The 18,230-nt window shown below is 43.0% G+C and overlaps 2 protein-coding genes across 9 annotated transcripts in view, besides 1 other annotated feature; both read right to left on the reverse strand.

Moving 5' to 3' along the window:
- Window positions 1–252: 252 nt before the first annotated feature.
- On the reverse strand, window positions 253–12,850 carry GPR135 (G protein-coupled receptor 135). 8 transcript variants are annotated; one of them, XM_017021598.3, is made up of 5 exons: window positions 10,280–12,850; window positions 8,736–8,835; window positions 8,442–8,643; window positions 6,327–6,474; window positions 253–4,015 (listed from the first exon to the last, which is right to left on the reverse strand). In XM_017021598.3, exon 1 carries the CDS (start codon window positions 12,694–12,696, stop codon window positions 11,212–11,214), a length of 1,485 nt encoding a protein of 494 aa, XP_016877087.1. In that variant the 5' UTR covers window positions 12,697–12,850; the 3' UTR covers window positions 253–4,015; window positions 6,327–6,474; window positions 8,442–8,643; window positions 8,736–8,835; window positions 10,280–11,211. The 8 variants fall into 8 exon arrangements, with proteins under 8 accessions (XP_016877087.1, XP_024305463.1, XP_024305462.1 ...); XM_024449695.2 differs by having other exon boundaries at window positions 253–3,226; window positions 3,908–4,015; window positions 8,736–12,850; XM_024449694.2 differs by having other exon boundaries at window positions 253–3,230; window positions 3,908–4,015; window positions 8,736–12,850.
- Window positions 12,381–12,920: a silencer, noted in NCBI's record as "silent region_5806". NCBI's record gives its function as "represses an Ori minimal core promoter by ATAC-STARR-seq in GM12878 lymphoblastoid cells {active_cell/tissue: GM12878}" and the evidence as "EXISTENCE:reporter gene assay evidence [ECO:0000049][PMID:35858748]".
- Window positions 12,948–18,230, reverse strand: part of L3HYPDH (trans-L-3-hydroxyproline dehydratase) — a 39,796-nt gene continuing 34,513 nt past the window's right edge. Inside the window, exon 5 of the mRNA XM_047430900.1 lies at window positions 12,948–13,197. Coding sequence (XP_047286856.1) covers window positions 13,114–13,197 — 84 coding nt within the window. The 3' untranslated portion in view covers window positions 12,948–13,113. The remainder of the gene's footprint in view (window positions 13,198–18,230) is intronic.

Below are 18,230 nucleotides of genomic sequence, written 5' to 3' on the forward strand. Positions count from 1 at the left end.
TGAGATATAACTGCACACCTATTAGAATGGCCAAAATCTAAAACACTAATAACACCAAATGCTGGCAAAGATATGGAGCAACAGAAACTCTCATTCATTGCTGGTGGGAATGCAACATGGTACCTCCATGTTGGAAGATCATTTGGCAGTTTCTTACAAAACTAAACATATTTTTAATGTACAATTCAAGACTCATGTTCCTTGATATTTACCCAAATGAGTTGAAAACTTGTTCACATAAATGTGCACACAGATGTTTATAGCAGCTTTATTAATAACTGCAAAATATTGGAAGCAACCAAGATGCCATCAGTAAATAAGCAGATAAATAAGCTATGGTACATCCAGACAATGGAATATTAGCACTAAAAGGAAATGAGCTATTTAGCCATGAAAAGCTATGGAGAAACCTAAAATGCATATTACTAAGCGAAAAAAGCCAATCTGAAAAGGCTTCCTACGGTATGATTCCAACTATATGACATTCTGGAAAAGGCAAAACCATGGAGACCGTAACAGTAGCAGTGGTTTCAAGAGACTGGGAGAAGAAAGGGATGAATGGATGGAGCACAGAGGAATTTTAGAGCAATAAAACTCTTCTACATATTTCTATAATTATAAATACATGTTATGACATTTGTCAAAACCCATAGAATGTACAACACGAAGAGTGAATGAACCCTAATGTAAACTATGGACTTTGGGTGATAGCAATGTGTCATTGTAGGTTTATTGATTATAACAAATGTACCTCTCTGGTGGGGGATATTGGTAACAGGTGAGGTTTTGCTTGTGTTGGGGCAAAGAATAAATGGGAAATCTCTGTACTTTCACTCAATTTTGCTGTGAACCTAAAGATGCTCTGAAAAATAAAGCCTACTAAAAAAAAGTTGAAAAGATGCCATGTTTGAAGAATGCTGTCCACTAAGCACAATCTCTTCTTCCTTATAGCTACTGTTCTTGGCAGAGCTACTTGGATTAACAATGGTGCCTGGCAGAGTAACACAGAGACCATAGGAATAGACATTTTCTTGAGTACATGTGGAAGACCAACTGGGAACTCCAAAATATTTTGTGATGGATGTTAAGGTGGGTTTCTCAGGGAGAACCCAGAACTACGTCATCAAGTCCATTGAAATTAGTGATAAGAGGCTGGCCTAGATAATGACTTTGGGGTTGAAAAGGAACAGATTGGGGAAAAGGGACTTGATGATTGGCAGGTTTTAGTTGTCAAGGGCAGGAAGGAAAAGGAAAACATTTATTTTTCACTCTGTACCCTTTTGTACCTTTTCAAATTCATATCGTGTACATATTATCTATTTTTAAAGTAATTTTTAAAATGTAAGATGGGGAAGCAGAGAAAGTAGTCAAAGAGGTTAGGAAGGAATGATCAGAGTGGTTAGCGGAAAACCAAGAAAGAGTAAAAACATGAACACCAGGACAAGAACATTTCCAAAAGGGAAGTGGGGCCAACTATGATGTGATAATTAATATTGAGTTTCAACTTGATTGGATTGAAGGATACAAAGTATTGATCTTGGGTGTGTCTTGAGGGTGTTGCCACAGGAGATTAACATTTGAGTCAGTGGGCTAGGAAAGGCAGACACACCCCTAATCTGGGTGGGCACAATCGAATCAGCTGCCAGCACTGCTAGAATCTAAGCAGGCAGAAACATGTGAAAACAGAGACTGGCTTAGCCTGCCAGCCTACATCTTTCTCCTGTGCTGGATGCTTCCTGCCCTTGAACACTGGAGTCCAAGTTCTTCAATTTTGGAACTTGGACTGGCTCTCCTTGCTCCTCAGCCTGCAGACAGCCTATTGTGGGAACCCTGACTAATACACGTGGTTTATGTTTGGCAAGGTCAAGTAAGATGGCTGAGAAGTATTCACTGGATTTAGGTCATTTGTGACCTATTCTGTGACTAATTCTGTGAAGCAATGAGTGTAGGAGCCAGATAAAAATGGAATGAGAAAGGAATCTGAGTTGAAATAAAGACAATATGTGAATAACATTTTCAAATATTATTTGAGGGCTTTTTCCACTGTATTTCCTTGTACGCACAGGACTTCCTTTACCTTTAGGATTTTCTGTACTAAAGGAGGCTGTGCCAAAAACAGAGAGGTCTTTGGTTTGTTAAAATTTTGGCCCTGCTTTAAATAGGAAGGTTTTAAATCAAGATAATAAGTCCAAGAGAACACACAAAGCTGTAAAAGCCAGAATGACTATCCTAAAGACTAGATAAATATGTTTTCAGGTTGGATGAGAGGAGCTTAGAAAATCAAGGAGAGGCCGGGTGCGGTGGCTCACACCTGTAATCCCAGCACTTAGGGAGGCCGAGGCAGGCAGATCACGTGGTCAGGAGATTGACACCATCCTGGCCAACATGGTGAAACCCCATCTCTACTAAAATACAAAAAATTAGCCGGGCCTGGTGGTGCATGCCTGTAGTCCCAGCTACTTGGGAGGCTGAGGCAGGAGAATCACTTGAACCCTGGAGGCGGAGATTGCGGTGAGCCAAGATCGCACCACTGCACTCCGGCCTGGTGACAGAGTGAGACTCCATCTCAAAAAAAAAAAAAATCAAGGAGAATTTAGATGTAAATAGAGCTCTGAGAAGTGTCCTTGTATCCTGTGTATCCCTGCCCACCCTTGGTGACTGGCCTAGCTATAGAATGATGGGGCAATAAAGGCTGCATGAGCCACTAATAAGTTTGGGGCACCTGAAAGCAAAGAGGACCTGCGTCTTGATTCCCATGTAGACCTCAGGAAGGCAGCAGCAAGACCTCAGAGTAGAAAACTGTTGCTTGGTTTGTTTTGTGCACAATTTTCCATTTTGTTTTTTACTGCAACCTATAAGAAGGGGTTCATTTTACACTGAGACCTAGCACACACTCATATACAACTGAAATGTTTCGTGAACCCATTCTTATTTCTACTAAGTGTATTAGTTATTATTGTTGTGTAACAAGCTAGCTCCAAATTTAGCAGCTTAAAACAATTATCCTCTCAAAGCTTCTGTGAGTCAGAAACTTGGAGCAGATTAGCTGGGTAGTTCTGATACAGGTCTCTCAGGGGGTTGTAATTAAGATGTCAGCTGGAGCTGCTTCCAAGATGGCTCACTCATATGGGTGTTGGCAAGAGGCCTCAGTACCTCACCATGTGGGCTCCTCCATAGGGCTGCTTGAGTGTCCTCACAACATGGCAGTTGGGTTTCCCCAGAATAACTGACTTGAGAAAGAGCAATGAGAAAGCCACAGTCAATACCTTTTTTTGTCCTAATATTTAAGACATCTTCACTTCTGCCACATTCTGTTCATCAAAAGTGATCATCATAACACTATTTAGGGGAAGGAAAATGCACTCTGCTAAAAACTTTCAGTTTTTCAATCTCCCTAACACTTGAGGATAGCCATGTGATATAGTTCTGGCAATAAGATGTAATCAGACATCTCTGGGAAGGTCATGTCTTCCTGATTAGAAAGACAAAACTTTTTGGAAAAAGCCCTTATTCTCCCTTTTCTCTTTCTTGGAATGGAGAGTGGAGACCTGGAAGTGCAAGTCATCTTGCAAACATATGTCAATATGAAACCTGCAAGTCCAGGATGGAGGCCTGGAAAGCTGCATCTCTGATGGTATTCTTGGGCTGCTCTTTCCTTGACTTGTTGACACAAATAACCCCTAATGAGTTAAAAAAAAACAACAAACAAAAGTAGTGAGTCACTAAGTACAGCTCACACTTAAGGGGAAAGAAAATTAGTTTATATCATTTGAAGGGAGAAGTATCAAAGAATTTTACAACTATCAAACTATGTGTGGTGAAATCTGATATGTTTTATTCTGTCCTACGCCACTTCAGTTTGTTTTAAATGTTGGTTATAACCCATTACGCTAAATTCATGACTTACCATTGGTTGTAACCCACGATGTAAATAGTCTAAAATCACTCTATTGGCAAAACTGCAGGGAAACAATCACACTCATAACTTGATGGTGGAAGTGAAAAATCGTACAACCTATAGAGAAGGTAATGTGGCAATTTGTATTAAATTATAAATGTACTTAGCCTTTGAACCATCACTCCTACCTATAATATTCTACCATATAGAAATACCTGCACACATACAAAATGTTTTATGTGTAAGTTGCTTCATTGCAGTATTATTTTCCAATAGTATAAAATTAGAGATAACCTGTCAATCAAAAGAAGGTGGCTACATTTTGATATTATCAAATATTTTGATATTTTGATATATCCATACAGTGGAATACCATGAAGCTATTTAGAAAAAGAATAACTTTGAATATATCATAGGGAACAATTTCCAGGATATATTGTTAAATGAAAAAAATCAATGTGTATATAGTATGCTAACTTTTCTGTACAAGAGGGAGAAAATTAAGAAAATATGCCTTTCCTTACTTTTACATAAAGAAACAAAAAATTAATAAACAGTGGTTGCCTGAGAAAGGTGAGGACAAGGTGAATAGGGCAGATGTAGGCAAGAGACTTTTAATGTGTATTTGTTGAAAGATAGTTTGGCTAAATATAGGATTCTTGGTTGACAGTTTTTTCTTTTAGCACTTTGAATATGTTATCCCTCTACCTTCCGGCCTCCATTGTTTCTGATAAGTCAGTTGTTAATCTTACTGGGATTCCCTTGTGTGTGACAGGTTGTTTTTCTCTTGCTGCTTTCAAGGATTTTCCTTTGTCTTTGTCTCTCAGCATTTTTACTATTTTACTATTTACTATCTGTGTGTGTCTCTTTGTGTTTGTCTTACTTAGGAGTTTCTTCAGTTTCTTGGATGTGTGTAGATTAATTTTTTTAAGACTCAAATTTGGGAAGTTTTCAACCATTATTTCTTCAAATACTTTTTCTGCTCTTTTTTCTCTTCTTTTTTTGGTAGTCACATTACACATATATTAATGCACTTAATGGTCTCCCACAGGTCTTTGAGGCTGTATTCATTTTTTCTGCATTATTTTTCTCTGTTGTTCAGCTTACATAATCTCTATTGAACTATATTCAAGTTTGCTAATTCTTTCTTCTGCCAGTTCAAATTTACTGTTGAGCCCCTGTAGTTAAGTTTTAATTTTAGTAATTGTAATTTTCAACTCAAGCATTTCCATGTTTCTTTTTTTATAAATTCTATCTCTTTATTAATCTCTATTGATGAGACATTTTCAACATGCCTTCTTTTACTTAAGCATAGTTTAAAAATTATTTGAACATATTCATAATGTCTACTTTAAAGAGTTTGTTAAATTTGCCATCTGATCCCTCTCATGGAGAGTTTCTTCTGTTGCCTGCTTTTTTTTCCTGGGTACGGTTCATATTTTCCTATTTCTGTGCATGTCTCATATATTTATTGCTCTTGTTGTTGTAAACTGGATGCTTTCAATAGAGAGAACCAGGGAAAAAGACAGCTAAGAAAAACCCTCATGGAACAACTCTGTAGCAGCTCCAGATACACGTTTCTACTACTCCTTCTGTGAGGCTTATTACTATTGTTTGTTTGTTTATTTGTTTAGTTACTGGACTATTTTGGGGTAGTCTTTTTGCTCTGTGGTGTGAAGCTTCTGGTGGTGTTCTTCAGAGGACACAGCCTTGGGTATGCCTACAGTCACCCTTGGAGAACAATAGCTTTAGTAGGGCTCTGTTTGACTGCCTCTTTTCCTGATCACTTCTAGATGTTAGGTGTCACTAATTATTTGCTAATTGCCCTATTGTTTTTGACAATGCTCTTGGGCATAAATTGCTCCACAGTCTGATCCAATTGCAGGGGCAGTTTTTGAGGTTAGTTTAGACCTCAGGAGAGCTCTTTTTAGCTGTCTCTTCTGGGTTCTCTCTGGTAAACTAGCTGCCCTGTGGTTTAGCTTCTATCTCTCATGAAGTTTTTAGCCTCCTCTTAATTGTTTACCACCAAAACTCCATTGTTTTTGAGAATGCCTTAGACTTGAACTTCTCCACACTTTGTTTCAAATAAAATTAGTTCCTTTGGAGAGAGCTTCAGGGCTGTCTAAAGGCCTGTCTCTACTCCTATGCGAACTCTCTGAGACATGGCTCTGAATTGTGGGGGCAGGGATGGTGGCCTGCTTCTTTTGGAATGGTTGCTCCAAAAGTAGGGCATTGGGTGGGGGGGTTCATAACATCTGGTCTTCTCAGCTTGCCCGTTCAAGCATGAAATCTCAGTCCTACAAATGAGCTTGTTTGAGAATAATCATGGCCCCAGTATTCCCAGCATGCCACACCCTAGTAAAGCATTTGCTCTATGAATGGGAGGTAGGTAGAAGAAGACAACCCCCAGCTTCTTGGCTGCACTCACCTGGAATTTAACCTTTGCAACATGTAGCCTGAGAGATGTGAAGTTCTTGTAACCTGCCCCTCTGAGGAAAATAAGATAGTCCTGGGATCTCGGAGAAGAAAGAGCCATGTGCTTTTTCCACCTGGAATGGAGTCTCTGTCATGCTGAGCTGGGAATAGGGAGAGAGTGGGTTATAAATCAAATGCCACAGACTCACTATTCTTACTGAGTTTTAGATTTTCTTAATTAATGTTTCTGCATTTTCTATATGCCATTAGGACAATTTAAAAAGATTTAAAATGGTTGTCTTGAAAATAATGTTCACCAGTTAAACTTGTTTAATTGGGATCCACAGAGCTCCTCATTGCCATTCCAGAAGTGGAACTTCCAAAGTATGTTTTATGTATAATTTTGATTTATTGACCCAACAATATCAAAACATATCAAAAACCAAAAATATTGGAAAAAATTCTTAAAAAGCAGCCTGTGACCTCCTAATAGGTGTGGTCACAGCCCTCTATGGTTCTGAGGTGGAGTAATAATTTTTTTGTGTTTAGAGAGGGGCTCTAAAGTGGTCATTTGAGCTGGGTCCTCTTGGACTGAAGTGGGAGATAATTACTCAGCAAGCCATGGATATAAGGCCAGAGACAGACTGATGGATGCCTTGGCAGATGCCAGGGTGAATGGATGACAACTGAGGACTTATGTTCACCAATGCACTGGCACTAATAAGCCCCTAGAACCTAGATGCTGTCATCTTAAGTTTTACCATCTGGCAGAGTAAGATGTTGAGTTGCAGAAAAATAATTACTTTCTTTCTTACACCACTAAAAGTGTAGACTAGAATTTAGATCAATTGTAAAAGTACAGGCAATTCTTTTGATGAGTTAGCTAAAGGAAAGGAACTGAGGGAGAGAAAAGGAGGGAAGAATGGGCATTTTTCCTCTCAAGTGAGAGATTACGGCATGCTTAAGTGCTCATGGCAGGGATATGGTTCAGTGGGAAGGCTAAGGATACCAGGGAACAGAAGTAATAGATAGCATGAGATTCCCAAGGCTGGAGAAGGGACCAGCTTCATTATAATTGGAAAACATAGCTGAGAACTAGTACAAATCTAGTTGAGTTAGGTTTGGTGGCTAAAATATGAAGAAATGTGTATCTGATGTCTTCTATTTTCTTGGAGAAGCAGCACCAAAAGTCATATTCCAAGAGGTTAGGGTTGGTTAAATGTTTGCATGGATAAAGTTTGAAGGGTCAAAAAAGGGGCAGAAGGAGTGAGTTGACAAGTGAAAATGCTCAGATTGCCAGCAGGGTGGAAGGGCCAGGCAAGGCTATGGAGTCTAAGTGCAGTGGGTACTAATCTGATTCTGTAATTTTTCTCCAATGCTGTTCAGATGCACTGGAGCAGGAATGGGGAAGATGGATGACTGGGGTCATCTTGAGTGGAATTATTCCAGAAAATAACTGCTCAGAAACCCTTATATGCTTTTTAGAAACACATATATATAGTTGTTTTCCAAATTAGAAACAAAAATCTTTTCTTTTAAATGTTATGCTGTTTTCCCATTCCTTTGATAGTTGTCTTTATCTTCCTTGTCACTTTTCCAGGGTTCTCATTGTCTTTTTCAAAAGACAGAGGCAGTACAGAATAGCAGTTAAGAGACGACTTCTGGCACCAATCTGCCAGGTGCAAATCTCATGTTTAGCACTTACTAGCTGTGTGATCACATAACACCTCTGTGCCTTGGTTTTCTCATCTGTAAAATGGGGAGAGTGATAATACAGTATGCCTTAATAAGATTGCTCTGAGGATTAAATGAGCTAATGCACCTACTATACAGAGTATTACTTGTTGCTGTTATTATTTCCACCCAAATGAAATACCCAAACTGGGAGCAGAATAAAACATGAAGGATTACATTCTGGCCTTTACATAGTACTCAATATTTAATCCATTCCAATATTTCATAGCTTTTCTTTCTCGTTTTCCCATGAAGTCACTATAATTGCATACTCATAGTAAGCACAACGAAAGGTCGAAGTCTTAGATTATTTTGAGAATCATTCTTTCTTCACCTTTTGAGGTATTGATTGTCTAAGTATTTACACTGGGTCAAATGGGTGGCTGACTTATACCTGCGTATCTCTTGCTTCCAAGTTCATCTCTTTTCTTTGATAGCCTCTTCTGAAAGTGCTACACCTTTTCTTTTCCACAAGTAAACTTGTTATGGCTGATTGTTGTTACAAAGCCACAAGGTCCTTGCTGAGGCTGTAAGCCCTCTGCAGATGAGTACTGTGGCTTCTACCTTTTAGTAGCCTTAGCTCCCAGGAAGTTGCCCTTATATAAAGTAGGAAACAAAAATGGTAGATGATGATCACGATGATGATAATGATGACAGTACCATAATTGATCATGATTGATTTCCTTACCTGTAGACTTCTGTGGGGATAGAGAGAAACAAACATGGAGTTCTGAGGCCAAACAGACTGCAGTTCAAATCCTAGTTCTACCACTAAATAGTTGGATAGCCTTGGATTAAAAACAAACAATTTAGAGCATTGTAAATTGTTCAGTAATTTATGAACAATTTTCTCTTTTTCCCCTCCAATTCTTGCCTACCATGACTCTCGGAGCCACTAACAGAATGGCCTCTTTCACAAGCCATGCCTTTCCTAAAACTTCCTGCCACCGAAAAGGTAGGGCTGGAATTCCTTTTCTTCCTTAAAGTCCTTCATGCCATCACCTTGTCACTTCCAATCTCTCAGATTTTCCCTTCACTCACCAGGTAGGTTTATTCTATATCACATTTATTTTTCAATGCCTTCCTTCAATTCTTCTTCTCAGGCAACACACTATTTTGCAACACGCTCACCTCCTTACTCTAAGATCTCTAACCCTCTGCCCTTTATTCACAACTGTACTTCTATTCTATGATGTCTTTTATAATTGAAGACTTTATCATTTCTCTCTAAATCCCAAAAGTGACTCGGTGCCAAAAAATACACAATTTTTTGCCTTTAACAGGCAAATACCGCAGACACCTGTTTTTGTTAGTCCAGCTGCATGAAGTCTGTATATGCTTTATAAAATAAGGGCTAGAGGGGAGGGATTATCTCATCTACTTTGTACTACATTGAGTGTAGCAAAATATATACAATTTACAAACTTCTGATTTGTGATGATACCCTGAGAAGCAGAAAAAATTAAAACATCTTTAGCTCTGACATGACTCATATATTTCCACCTTTGATTACAAAATAATGACATGTACCCACCTGTCAAACAAAGAAATACTTAAAAACATATTTAAATACTTTACAGGAAGAAAATGCTGGCTATTTCACATTGAAATCTTCATACGACAGCTAATGTCTTTTCATATCTACTGTAAATAACTTGTTCAATTAAGGCTATGAAATACTGAAGAAAAGGGGCAGGATGGAGGAAAAGAAAGGGAAAAATAATATTTAAAAAAATTCTGAGTAAATGATTCTGTGTATAGTCGTATTTAACATTAGAAAGTTCACATACGCTTTTGAATTATTGTAAAACCATCTTTTCTGCTAAGATAGAAATTTAAAAAGCATCTTTGATTTGCATATTTCTAAAGATATTTTCAGTTTGCTTGAAGTTCTTCTCCAACTTTATGCCTGTGTTTTAATACCGTTACATATAGTCCCACACCTATTCTCCCTTTAATAAATACATTATCTTCGACAAGTCATAGCTATAAAGCAACCATCAGCTATTTTAAAAAATACAAAATATACCAAATTTCTAAATGTAGGAGGGTATGATCTATTTGGAAAAGTCTACGCTAATTCCAAGAGGCTGCTTCTCAAAATAGTTTTAGAATTTCTCTTTGGAATCGTTTTCAGTTAGCTAAAAGCCACGTAGGAAACCCAACCTTGTTGTTTTATAGAGGTCTCATTTTAAAAAATAATAAAAATTTAAATAAAGTGGCATCACTCACCTTATTCAATCAACTTGACTTCAAATTACATTTTTGGCTATATCCAAAAATCAAATTTACCTCAAAAGACAAAAATTTTCTACAATGAAAATATTTTTTTAAATGTGAAAGCATTCTGAGAGCAGCATTCCAAAATTTATCAGAAATAAAAGTAACAGGTTAGAGTAAGGATAAAACTTCAAAGTTTTCCAAGGAAGATCATTTTGGAGGTATGACGCGGGTGGAAGGAATGTTAATTTTTACATATAATCTTGGAAAACATTTAAAAGACACATTTCTTTATGTTCATACTTCTATTTGTCCTTCAGATGGTTGAATTTTATCTAATAATAACCAGCTTTTCAAAATCCTAAAATGATTTTAAATGGGTTATGAATTAAAAATTTTCCACAAAGGTTATTAGGGGGTGGGGTGAGGAGGTGCACCAATGTGTGTAAGGATAAGACTTTTCCACTTGCAATCTAAGCACCCAAAGCATGTCAGAGGTGCAAGCTCTAGAAGCTAAAGTTTTGTTGGATGGTAGCGATTTAGAGGGGCTTTCAAGCAGCTCTGAAGGTCTCCATTCATTCCTGAAATTCTGTGTAGTTGAACAATACTGGTTGCATTCAATGTTTTGTTTGTTTCACAGTGTGGTCCTATAATATGAGCTTTTCAGTTATAGTGAATGTTATTTTTGTCATTTTTGGCACTTACAGTTCACAATGCTTGGTTATGTGGTTTAAGATTGTTTTAATTTTTGCATTTTACATTCCTTTTGGCACTTTTGAAGAAGGGACATTGTCTTTTATGTTGTTTGGGGAAAGTGGTAAGCCTCCCCCGTCTCTAGCTTTAAATGTTTGGCTTTATGAAATCCACAACTCTCCCCCAGAATCTTCCATCATTAAATAATGCGAGTGGAAATTTGCCTTCATAAGCTGGCCATTCCAACCGTCTTAGAGGCTGGTATCCCCAGCTTCGGATTTAGGCTGTTTGGTCACTGCCGTCACCGGCTCTGGTGGTCCCTCTCGGCAGAAAAGTACAACTGGATTTTTGCGGGCCCACATGGCCACGTCCCCTGCCACTCCGCTGGCCGGGTTGGAAGAGGACATCCTGTTGCAGGCCCCCAGCCGGTTGGCATAGCGGTTTCGAAGGCGACTGCGGCTTCTGGCTTGCAGACCCGGGCCCTGGCTGGGCAGGAAAGCGTCCACATTCCTAGTCCGGTAGCCCTCCTCGCGGTTGCGCCCTAGGAGCATCGAAATGTTGGGATTGCGGATGGCGTAGATGACAGGGTTGATGGCCCCATTGGCCCAGGTCAGCCAGACGGCCACCACGCTGAGGAGCGAGGGGGCCTGCATGGTCTGGGCCTGCCGGGCGGCGGCCAGCAGCACCAGGAAGCAGTAGGGCCCCCAGCAGCAGATGACGAAGACGATCATGATGAGGACGGTGGTGGCCGTGCGCACCTCGCTGAAGAAGCGCAGCACGCGCGCGTAGGTGTTCACCGGCCGCACGCGCACGTCCGACAGGCGCACCGTCTTGCAGATGTGGTAGTGGCAGAAGCACATGAGCAGGAAGGGCAGCAGGTAGCAGGCCACCACCAGCCCCACGCTGAAGGCCGCGCCCAGCTGCGCGGGGTCCGGGGAGGTCCGGTAGAGGCAGCCGTGGAAGCTCTGCGCCGCCGCGAGTTCCCGGGGCGCCCCGAGCAGCTCCCAGGGCAAGGAGAAGCCCAGGGCCGTCAGCCAGGCGCCCGCCAGCAGCTGCAGCGCGCGGCGGCGGCCGATCTTCTCCCGCGGCGGCCGCACGATAGCGCAGTAACGGTCCAACGAGATGAGCGCCACGCTGAGCGTGGACACGATGCCGAAGCACGAGCTGAAGAAGCGGCTGGCGGCGCAGAAGCCGCGCCAGGGCCCCGCGGCGGCGGCAGGCGCCGAACCCCCGGGCGGAGTGAAGAGGTCCAGGAAGGCGGCGGGCAGGCAGAGCAGCGCCGTGAGCAGATCCGATAGGGACAGCGACAGGATGAAGGCGTTGGTGACGGTGCGGAGCTGCCGGTGCTTCACAATCACCCCCATCACCGCGCAGTTGCCAAGGCTAGACAGCAGGAAGATGAGCAGGAGGACGAGCGCCTGGGCCGCCACTGCAGCTCCGTGCGACAGCAGCGGCGCCGCCTCCGGGCCTAGCGGCCGCCTCACCGCCGCCCCCGCCTCCCGCGCTGCCCCGGACCCGCCAAGGCCGCCGCCACCGGGAGCGGCAGCTGTGCCGCCTCCGCTTGCGTCGCTCAGGTTCCCCAGCGCCGCGGTCGCCACGGTGCTGAAGGAGAGCACGGCCGCCGTGGCCGCGGAGGAAGTCCCGCCAGGTGGGCCGGCCGCGGAGGGGGCGCCGGAGTGCTGGCTGCCCAGTAAGGCCATGCTCGCTGGTGGGCGGGGCGGCTGCGGCTCCTCCATGGGGCCCAGTGGCGGCCGCGGATCTCCTCATCCCGCACCGGGGGCGGCGGCCGCTAGGTCGGAGTGGTGGCTCGGGGCCGGGGGCTAGCGGCCGCCGCGGGGAGCTGGGCTCGGCCGGAGGGGTGGCGGTCGCTGGGGACCTGGCGGAGCCTTTGACGTGGGTTCCAGCGTTGCCGAGGGAACCGCGTGTTTACGCAGGAGCGCGGGGCGGGACGGCAGCCCAGTACCCGCTGCAAAGCCGACCCGCGACACCGCCACTCCGGAGGTTACCGGCCCGGGTGTTCGGGTTTCCGAGAGTGCCAGGTCGACCTCCTGAGGGACCAATGTCCGGCCAGATAAAGTGCCGACTGGCATGCAAACAAATGACCAGATTCAACGAAAGTTCACTCTTGCTCTCTTTTGTAGGGTACAAATGTTCTACAGGCAGGCCTTTTGGGGAGTGGTGGGGGGGGCACTCTGCTTCCTGTGGGTGCTTTTGGTATATACAGGTAGGAAAGGAATCTAGAAAGTGAAGTGAAAGAAAAATCCAGAAGTCTACATCCAGACATCTTAAACTTGAGAAGCAGACTAATTTAAACCAGTAATTCTCAAACTTGAGCTAACAGAATTCACATAGAGGGCGTGTTAAAATACAAGTGACGAGGTCTGAACCCCAGCGTTTCGAATATGTCTGGGGAAGTACCCAAGAATTTGTATCTCTAACGGGTTCGCGGGTGGTGATGATGATGCTGGTCCCAGGACCACACTTACAGAAGCACTGATGTCAAGAGTTTCATAAAATGCAGATTCCCAGGCTGACAGAATTACTAAGGATGGGCCCATGACTCTAAACCCCGTAGGTGATTCTGATACAGGTGCTCTGAGGAGCTAGGATAGTTCCTTTAGATGTTACTTCATTTCCAAGGGCCTGGACCTCAGGCCCCTACTGGCTGATAAATGGGGGGAGAGGGATTGGTGCCTTGCCCTGCTAGCAGCCTTCATCTGTTCTCAGGAATGGGGTATGTTTTGAGTCTAAGGTGCTGCCAGCCTGGCAATCACCACAGATGCAGCTCCAGGTACCTGGCTGGGAGATACGGGGAAAAGAAAGGCAGGGCTACCCAGGGAAGTTGCATCTCAAGTTTCTGGGCATGGCCTCTAATGGGGAAAAGTGTGATAAACCCTCAGGTTAACTAACCCTGGGCTCTTCGCTAAAGCAGTGGTTCACAGAGTATGGACATTGGACCAGCAGCATCAACATCCCCTGGAAACCTTGAGAAATACAAATTATCAGGCCTACAGTGCATAGGATACCCCTGATCTACTGAAACTCCTGTGGTGGGGCCCAGGCACCTATGTTTTAACAAGCCCTCCCAGTGATTCTGATGCACAAATTTGAGAAACACTGCTCTAAAGAATGACTAGTATATTTGTAGATCTTAGAATCAATGGTATTAGTATTGGAGTGCTTATTTCATTCAGAAAAAATATCCTACAGGAAATTTACAGTATAAATAGAAGAACGTTTAAGGTGGCAAACCAAAACTGGGTTTGTCAGCCTAAGCGTCATGGACTTTTGGGCCAGATAATTCTTTATTGCAGGGGCCATCTATACATTGTATGATGTTCAGCAGCATCCCTAGTTCCTACCTACGAGATGCCAGTAGCACCTCTCCCAGCTGTGACAACTAAAACTGTCTTCAGATATTGCCAAATATCCTCTTGGGAGCAGTCAATGCCAGCTTAATCTAGACTGATTTTGTCTTAATTTTGTCAATCAAAGCAAAAATATAATTATCATACATTAATTTATTTGGCAAACACAATCTTCTCAGATTGTGCTTAGTTTTAGGAAACAACATATAAGATAGGAAACCCAGCCCAAATAAGCTTAAGCCACCGGCCAACACAGTATATTACAGTGTGCTAAATATTGTCTTAAAAATATGTGAGTGAAATTATTTGTCTTCCTGACAAAGACTTTGTACAAGAGGTGACATTAGACTTTTTAAAAAAAGAAGAAAGGGAAAGAACATTTGATGAATGTGCAAAGTCTGGAGGTTAGTGTTGAAGTGAGCAGTGTCTGAATTCTAGGATATTGGAGATGGGGAGTGAAGAAGGAAATAAATGATCAAAGTTTATTGGGGCTACCTTATGATGGGCCTTGTAGGCCATGCTCTGGAGACTGAACTTCATCAGGGGAGGAGGGGCTAATAGCATAAGGGAGGGCCGTGAGCAAGTGCATGGTTCAGAAGGACCAGAAGGACTGCACTCTTCTGCTTCCTTCCTTCCTCATCTTTCTCAGTGTCCTCTCCTCTGCCAGTTCATCCTCTTCCACCTGCCTTTACATGCTGGAGTTCATCAAAGCCCTGTTCTCAGCTCCTCTGGACTCCCCCCTCGGCCCCATCTCACTCACATCCAGGACTTCAAAGATAATCTATATATTCATTACTCAAATTATGTCTGTGGCCCCAACCTACATGTCCTGCTACTTGGCATCTCTCTCCTTGATGTGCCAGTGGCACATCAAATGGGTGCATGATCTTCTTCCTACTTCCCCGGTAAAACTTGGTCTTCAATACTCTGTATCTCAGAATATGGTAGAACCATCCTTCTAGCTTTTAAGCCAAAAACTTAAGAGTTTTCCTTGATGAATCCCTCCTCCTTACCACCAGTCCACATCCAATTCATCAACCAAGACCTATGGATTTTAGTTGCGGACTATCTTTGCATCCATTCATCTCCTCCATCCTGAATCTTGGCTCTCATCCTCTCTTTGGACTACTGTTGTCACTGTTGTCCTAACCGGTCTTCCCACATCCAGTTCCTACATTGTAGGCAGCTAGGCATAATGCTCTTAAAAAAATTCTTCATGCCACTTACTTATTTAAACTCTTCTAATTAGGCCAGTGTAGTGGCATGTGCCTGTAGTCCCAGGTACTTAGGAAGCTGAGGAGGGAGGATCGTATGAGCCCAGTAGTTACAGGCCAGCCTGGGCAACATAGTGAGACCATGTCTCTTTTAAAAAAAATCCTATTGGCTTTCCCCATTTATTTTAGAATAAGGACCCCAATCCTTAATATTTCCTACAAGGCACTGCATGATTTGACCCTGCTTCCTCTCTAGTCTCATTCGGTACCACTTTCCTTCTTTTTTCTGTGTTCCTGCCACACTTGGCTTTTATGACTTCCTTAAACCTTCCATCTTAGGGTGTTTGCACTTGCTATCCCCTCTGCCTGGAAAGCTCCATCTTCTTCTTCCCTTCCCTAGCATCCCCATCTTCGCGTTAAGGTTAGTCCATGGGGGAAGCCTCCCTTGACTGATACCGTCCTTTCCCCACGTATTGGGCCATGTTCCCCTGTTAGTTTCACAGCACTCTGTATTTTCCATTGTAGCACATAACCATGGTCTATAATTTTTTGCGTGATTATCTAAGCATTACCTGCCTCCCACTCTATACTATATGAGGACCTAAACCTTGCCTGTTTATTTTATGAGATCCCCAGCACTTAGCACTCTAACAAACTGCTATACAAATGCCAACATACAAAAAAATATTTTTTGAGTAACTGTAAGAGGAGAATCTGGAATTTAGGAGACCACTTAAGGAGAGGCATTCTAACAGTCCAGGTGAAAAGTGAGAGTCTGAAGTGGACCTTTGCAGTGAAGAAGGAGAGGTCATGTATAGATTAGGGTAGGTAGTATATGGATTAGGATTCTCTGGGCGTAAGTAACACATGAGGACACTGGTTCACATAAGCAATATAGGAATTTACTGGAAGGACAGGGGAAGTTCCATTTACAAAAGGACAGTCTAACAGCAGCTCCAAGAAGAAGAGAAGTCAGAGCAGTCCTGTGGGTAGGGAGAGCAGAAACTGATGGGAGTGATCTCTTTAGGCCACCATTGGAACAGATCAACTTCAGTTTTCAGACCTTATGTCATTTCTCAAGATCTCAGGTCTGGGGGAAAAAGTCTTGACTGGTGTACCAGTTTCCCAGCAGTCCTAGCAAGACTACATGCAGGTAGTTTCCCAAAGAAAAAGGAGAATGCTGTTGATAAAAGAAGGGGAGGCCAGGCGCGGTGGCTCATGCCTGTAATCCCAGCACTTTGGGAGGCCAAGGTGGGTGAATCACGAGATCAGGAGTTCAAGGCCAGCCTGGCCAACAGGGTGAAATCCCGTCTCTACTAAAAATACAAAAAAATTAGCTGAACGTAGTGGCAGGCACCTGTAATCCCAGCTACTCAGGAGGCTGAGGCAGGAGAATCGCTTGAACCCGGGAAGCAGAGGTTGCAGTGAGCCAAGATCATGCCAACTGCACTCTCGCCCTGGCGACAGAGTGAGACTCCATCTCATTAAAAAAAAAAAAAAAAAAAAAAAAAAAAAGGTTGGGGGGTAAAAGAAGGGGAAAGGCATGATGGCTGGAGAAATCCACAGCTATCCACCTCAGGAGCATCAACAAAGAGGACAAAGATTGTGAATAGGAGCCAAGGGTCAATCCCAAGTCCCTAGCTTGGTGGATGGTGGTGCCATTAATCAAGTTAGGAAATATGGGAAGAGGGCCACAGTCTAGGGGGAAAATGATCTTGGTTGTCCTCTAAGTACTGAATCTACAGTATGGCCTTAGACCTCAGAAATTAGGGATGTGGATGTGGTTAGTCTCTCTACAAGAGGGAAAACCATGGGAATGAATGTGACAATTTAAGGACAGAGTAGTCAGGGAAGAAAGAAAAGGACCATGGATGGAATGCTAGGGAGTAATAAAAGTTAAGAAGCAGATAAAGAAAGCAAAGCTAGGCAGGTGAATGATACAGTTAATGAGGCACAATGGTCTATTGAGAAATCAGCTGTTTTATGTTTTTGGTTTTCAGAAAAGAAGGTAAGGCAATTTTCCCAGCCTTTTATGAGGAACGTACTTGTGAGCGCTATCCTTTACCTCCAGGTGGAGAGCTAACAGGCTTTTCATGTGTTTCAGAGCTTAGAGGAGAAGTTGCCAGCCAGGATTACCCAAACAGGTAATTAAAATAGGCTCATCCAAAAGTTTGCTACTCACAGTACTCCAACCAGCAACATTAGCATCGCCTGAGAGCTTGTTAGAAATGCCCCACCCCGTGTCTGATGAATGAGAATCTAAGATTCCCAGGTGATTCACATGCACATTGAAGTATGAAGAACAGTGTCCTAAAGAGAGGTAGTATGCTATCTGTGTCTTTCAGGATTGAAGAGAAGGGTGACCTAACTCTTACTGAGTCTGGAGGACTTGGAGCAAAGTGCATTGTGAGTTCATGATGAAGAGGAGATGGGCCTGGGCCCATACAATTGCAGCACTTTGGCGGGCACTAATGGGGACTGGGTACTAACCTCATAAGCCTAACTGAGTGGTTCTGTGGGTGAGCTCAGCACCAAGGGACTAGAGTTGCCTGTTCTAAAATGGACCACACCTACCTGCAGGGAGCAAGCAGCGGGGGCCACCATGGATTGCATAAACCATAAGACCTGGCAATTAGGTAAAGTTTCTAATGAGTAATGAGGTAGAAGCCAGATTGCAGTAGTTGAATA

Source organism: Homo sapiens, chromosome 14, assembly GCF_000001405.40.
Source record: "Homo sapiens chromosome 14, GRCh38.p14 Primary Assembly".
In the NCBI taxonomy this organism is placed as follows: Eukaryota; Metazoa; Chordata; class Mammalia; order Primates; family Hominidae; genus Homo; species Homo sapiens.

Excerpts from the sequence above, each read along its gene's own strand:
- GPR135 (XM_017021599.3), bottom strand. The coding sequence starts at position 12,696 with ATGGAGGAGCCGCAGCCGCCCCGCCCACCAGCGAGCATGGCCTTACTG.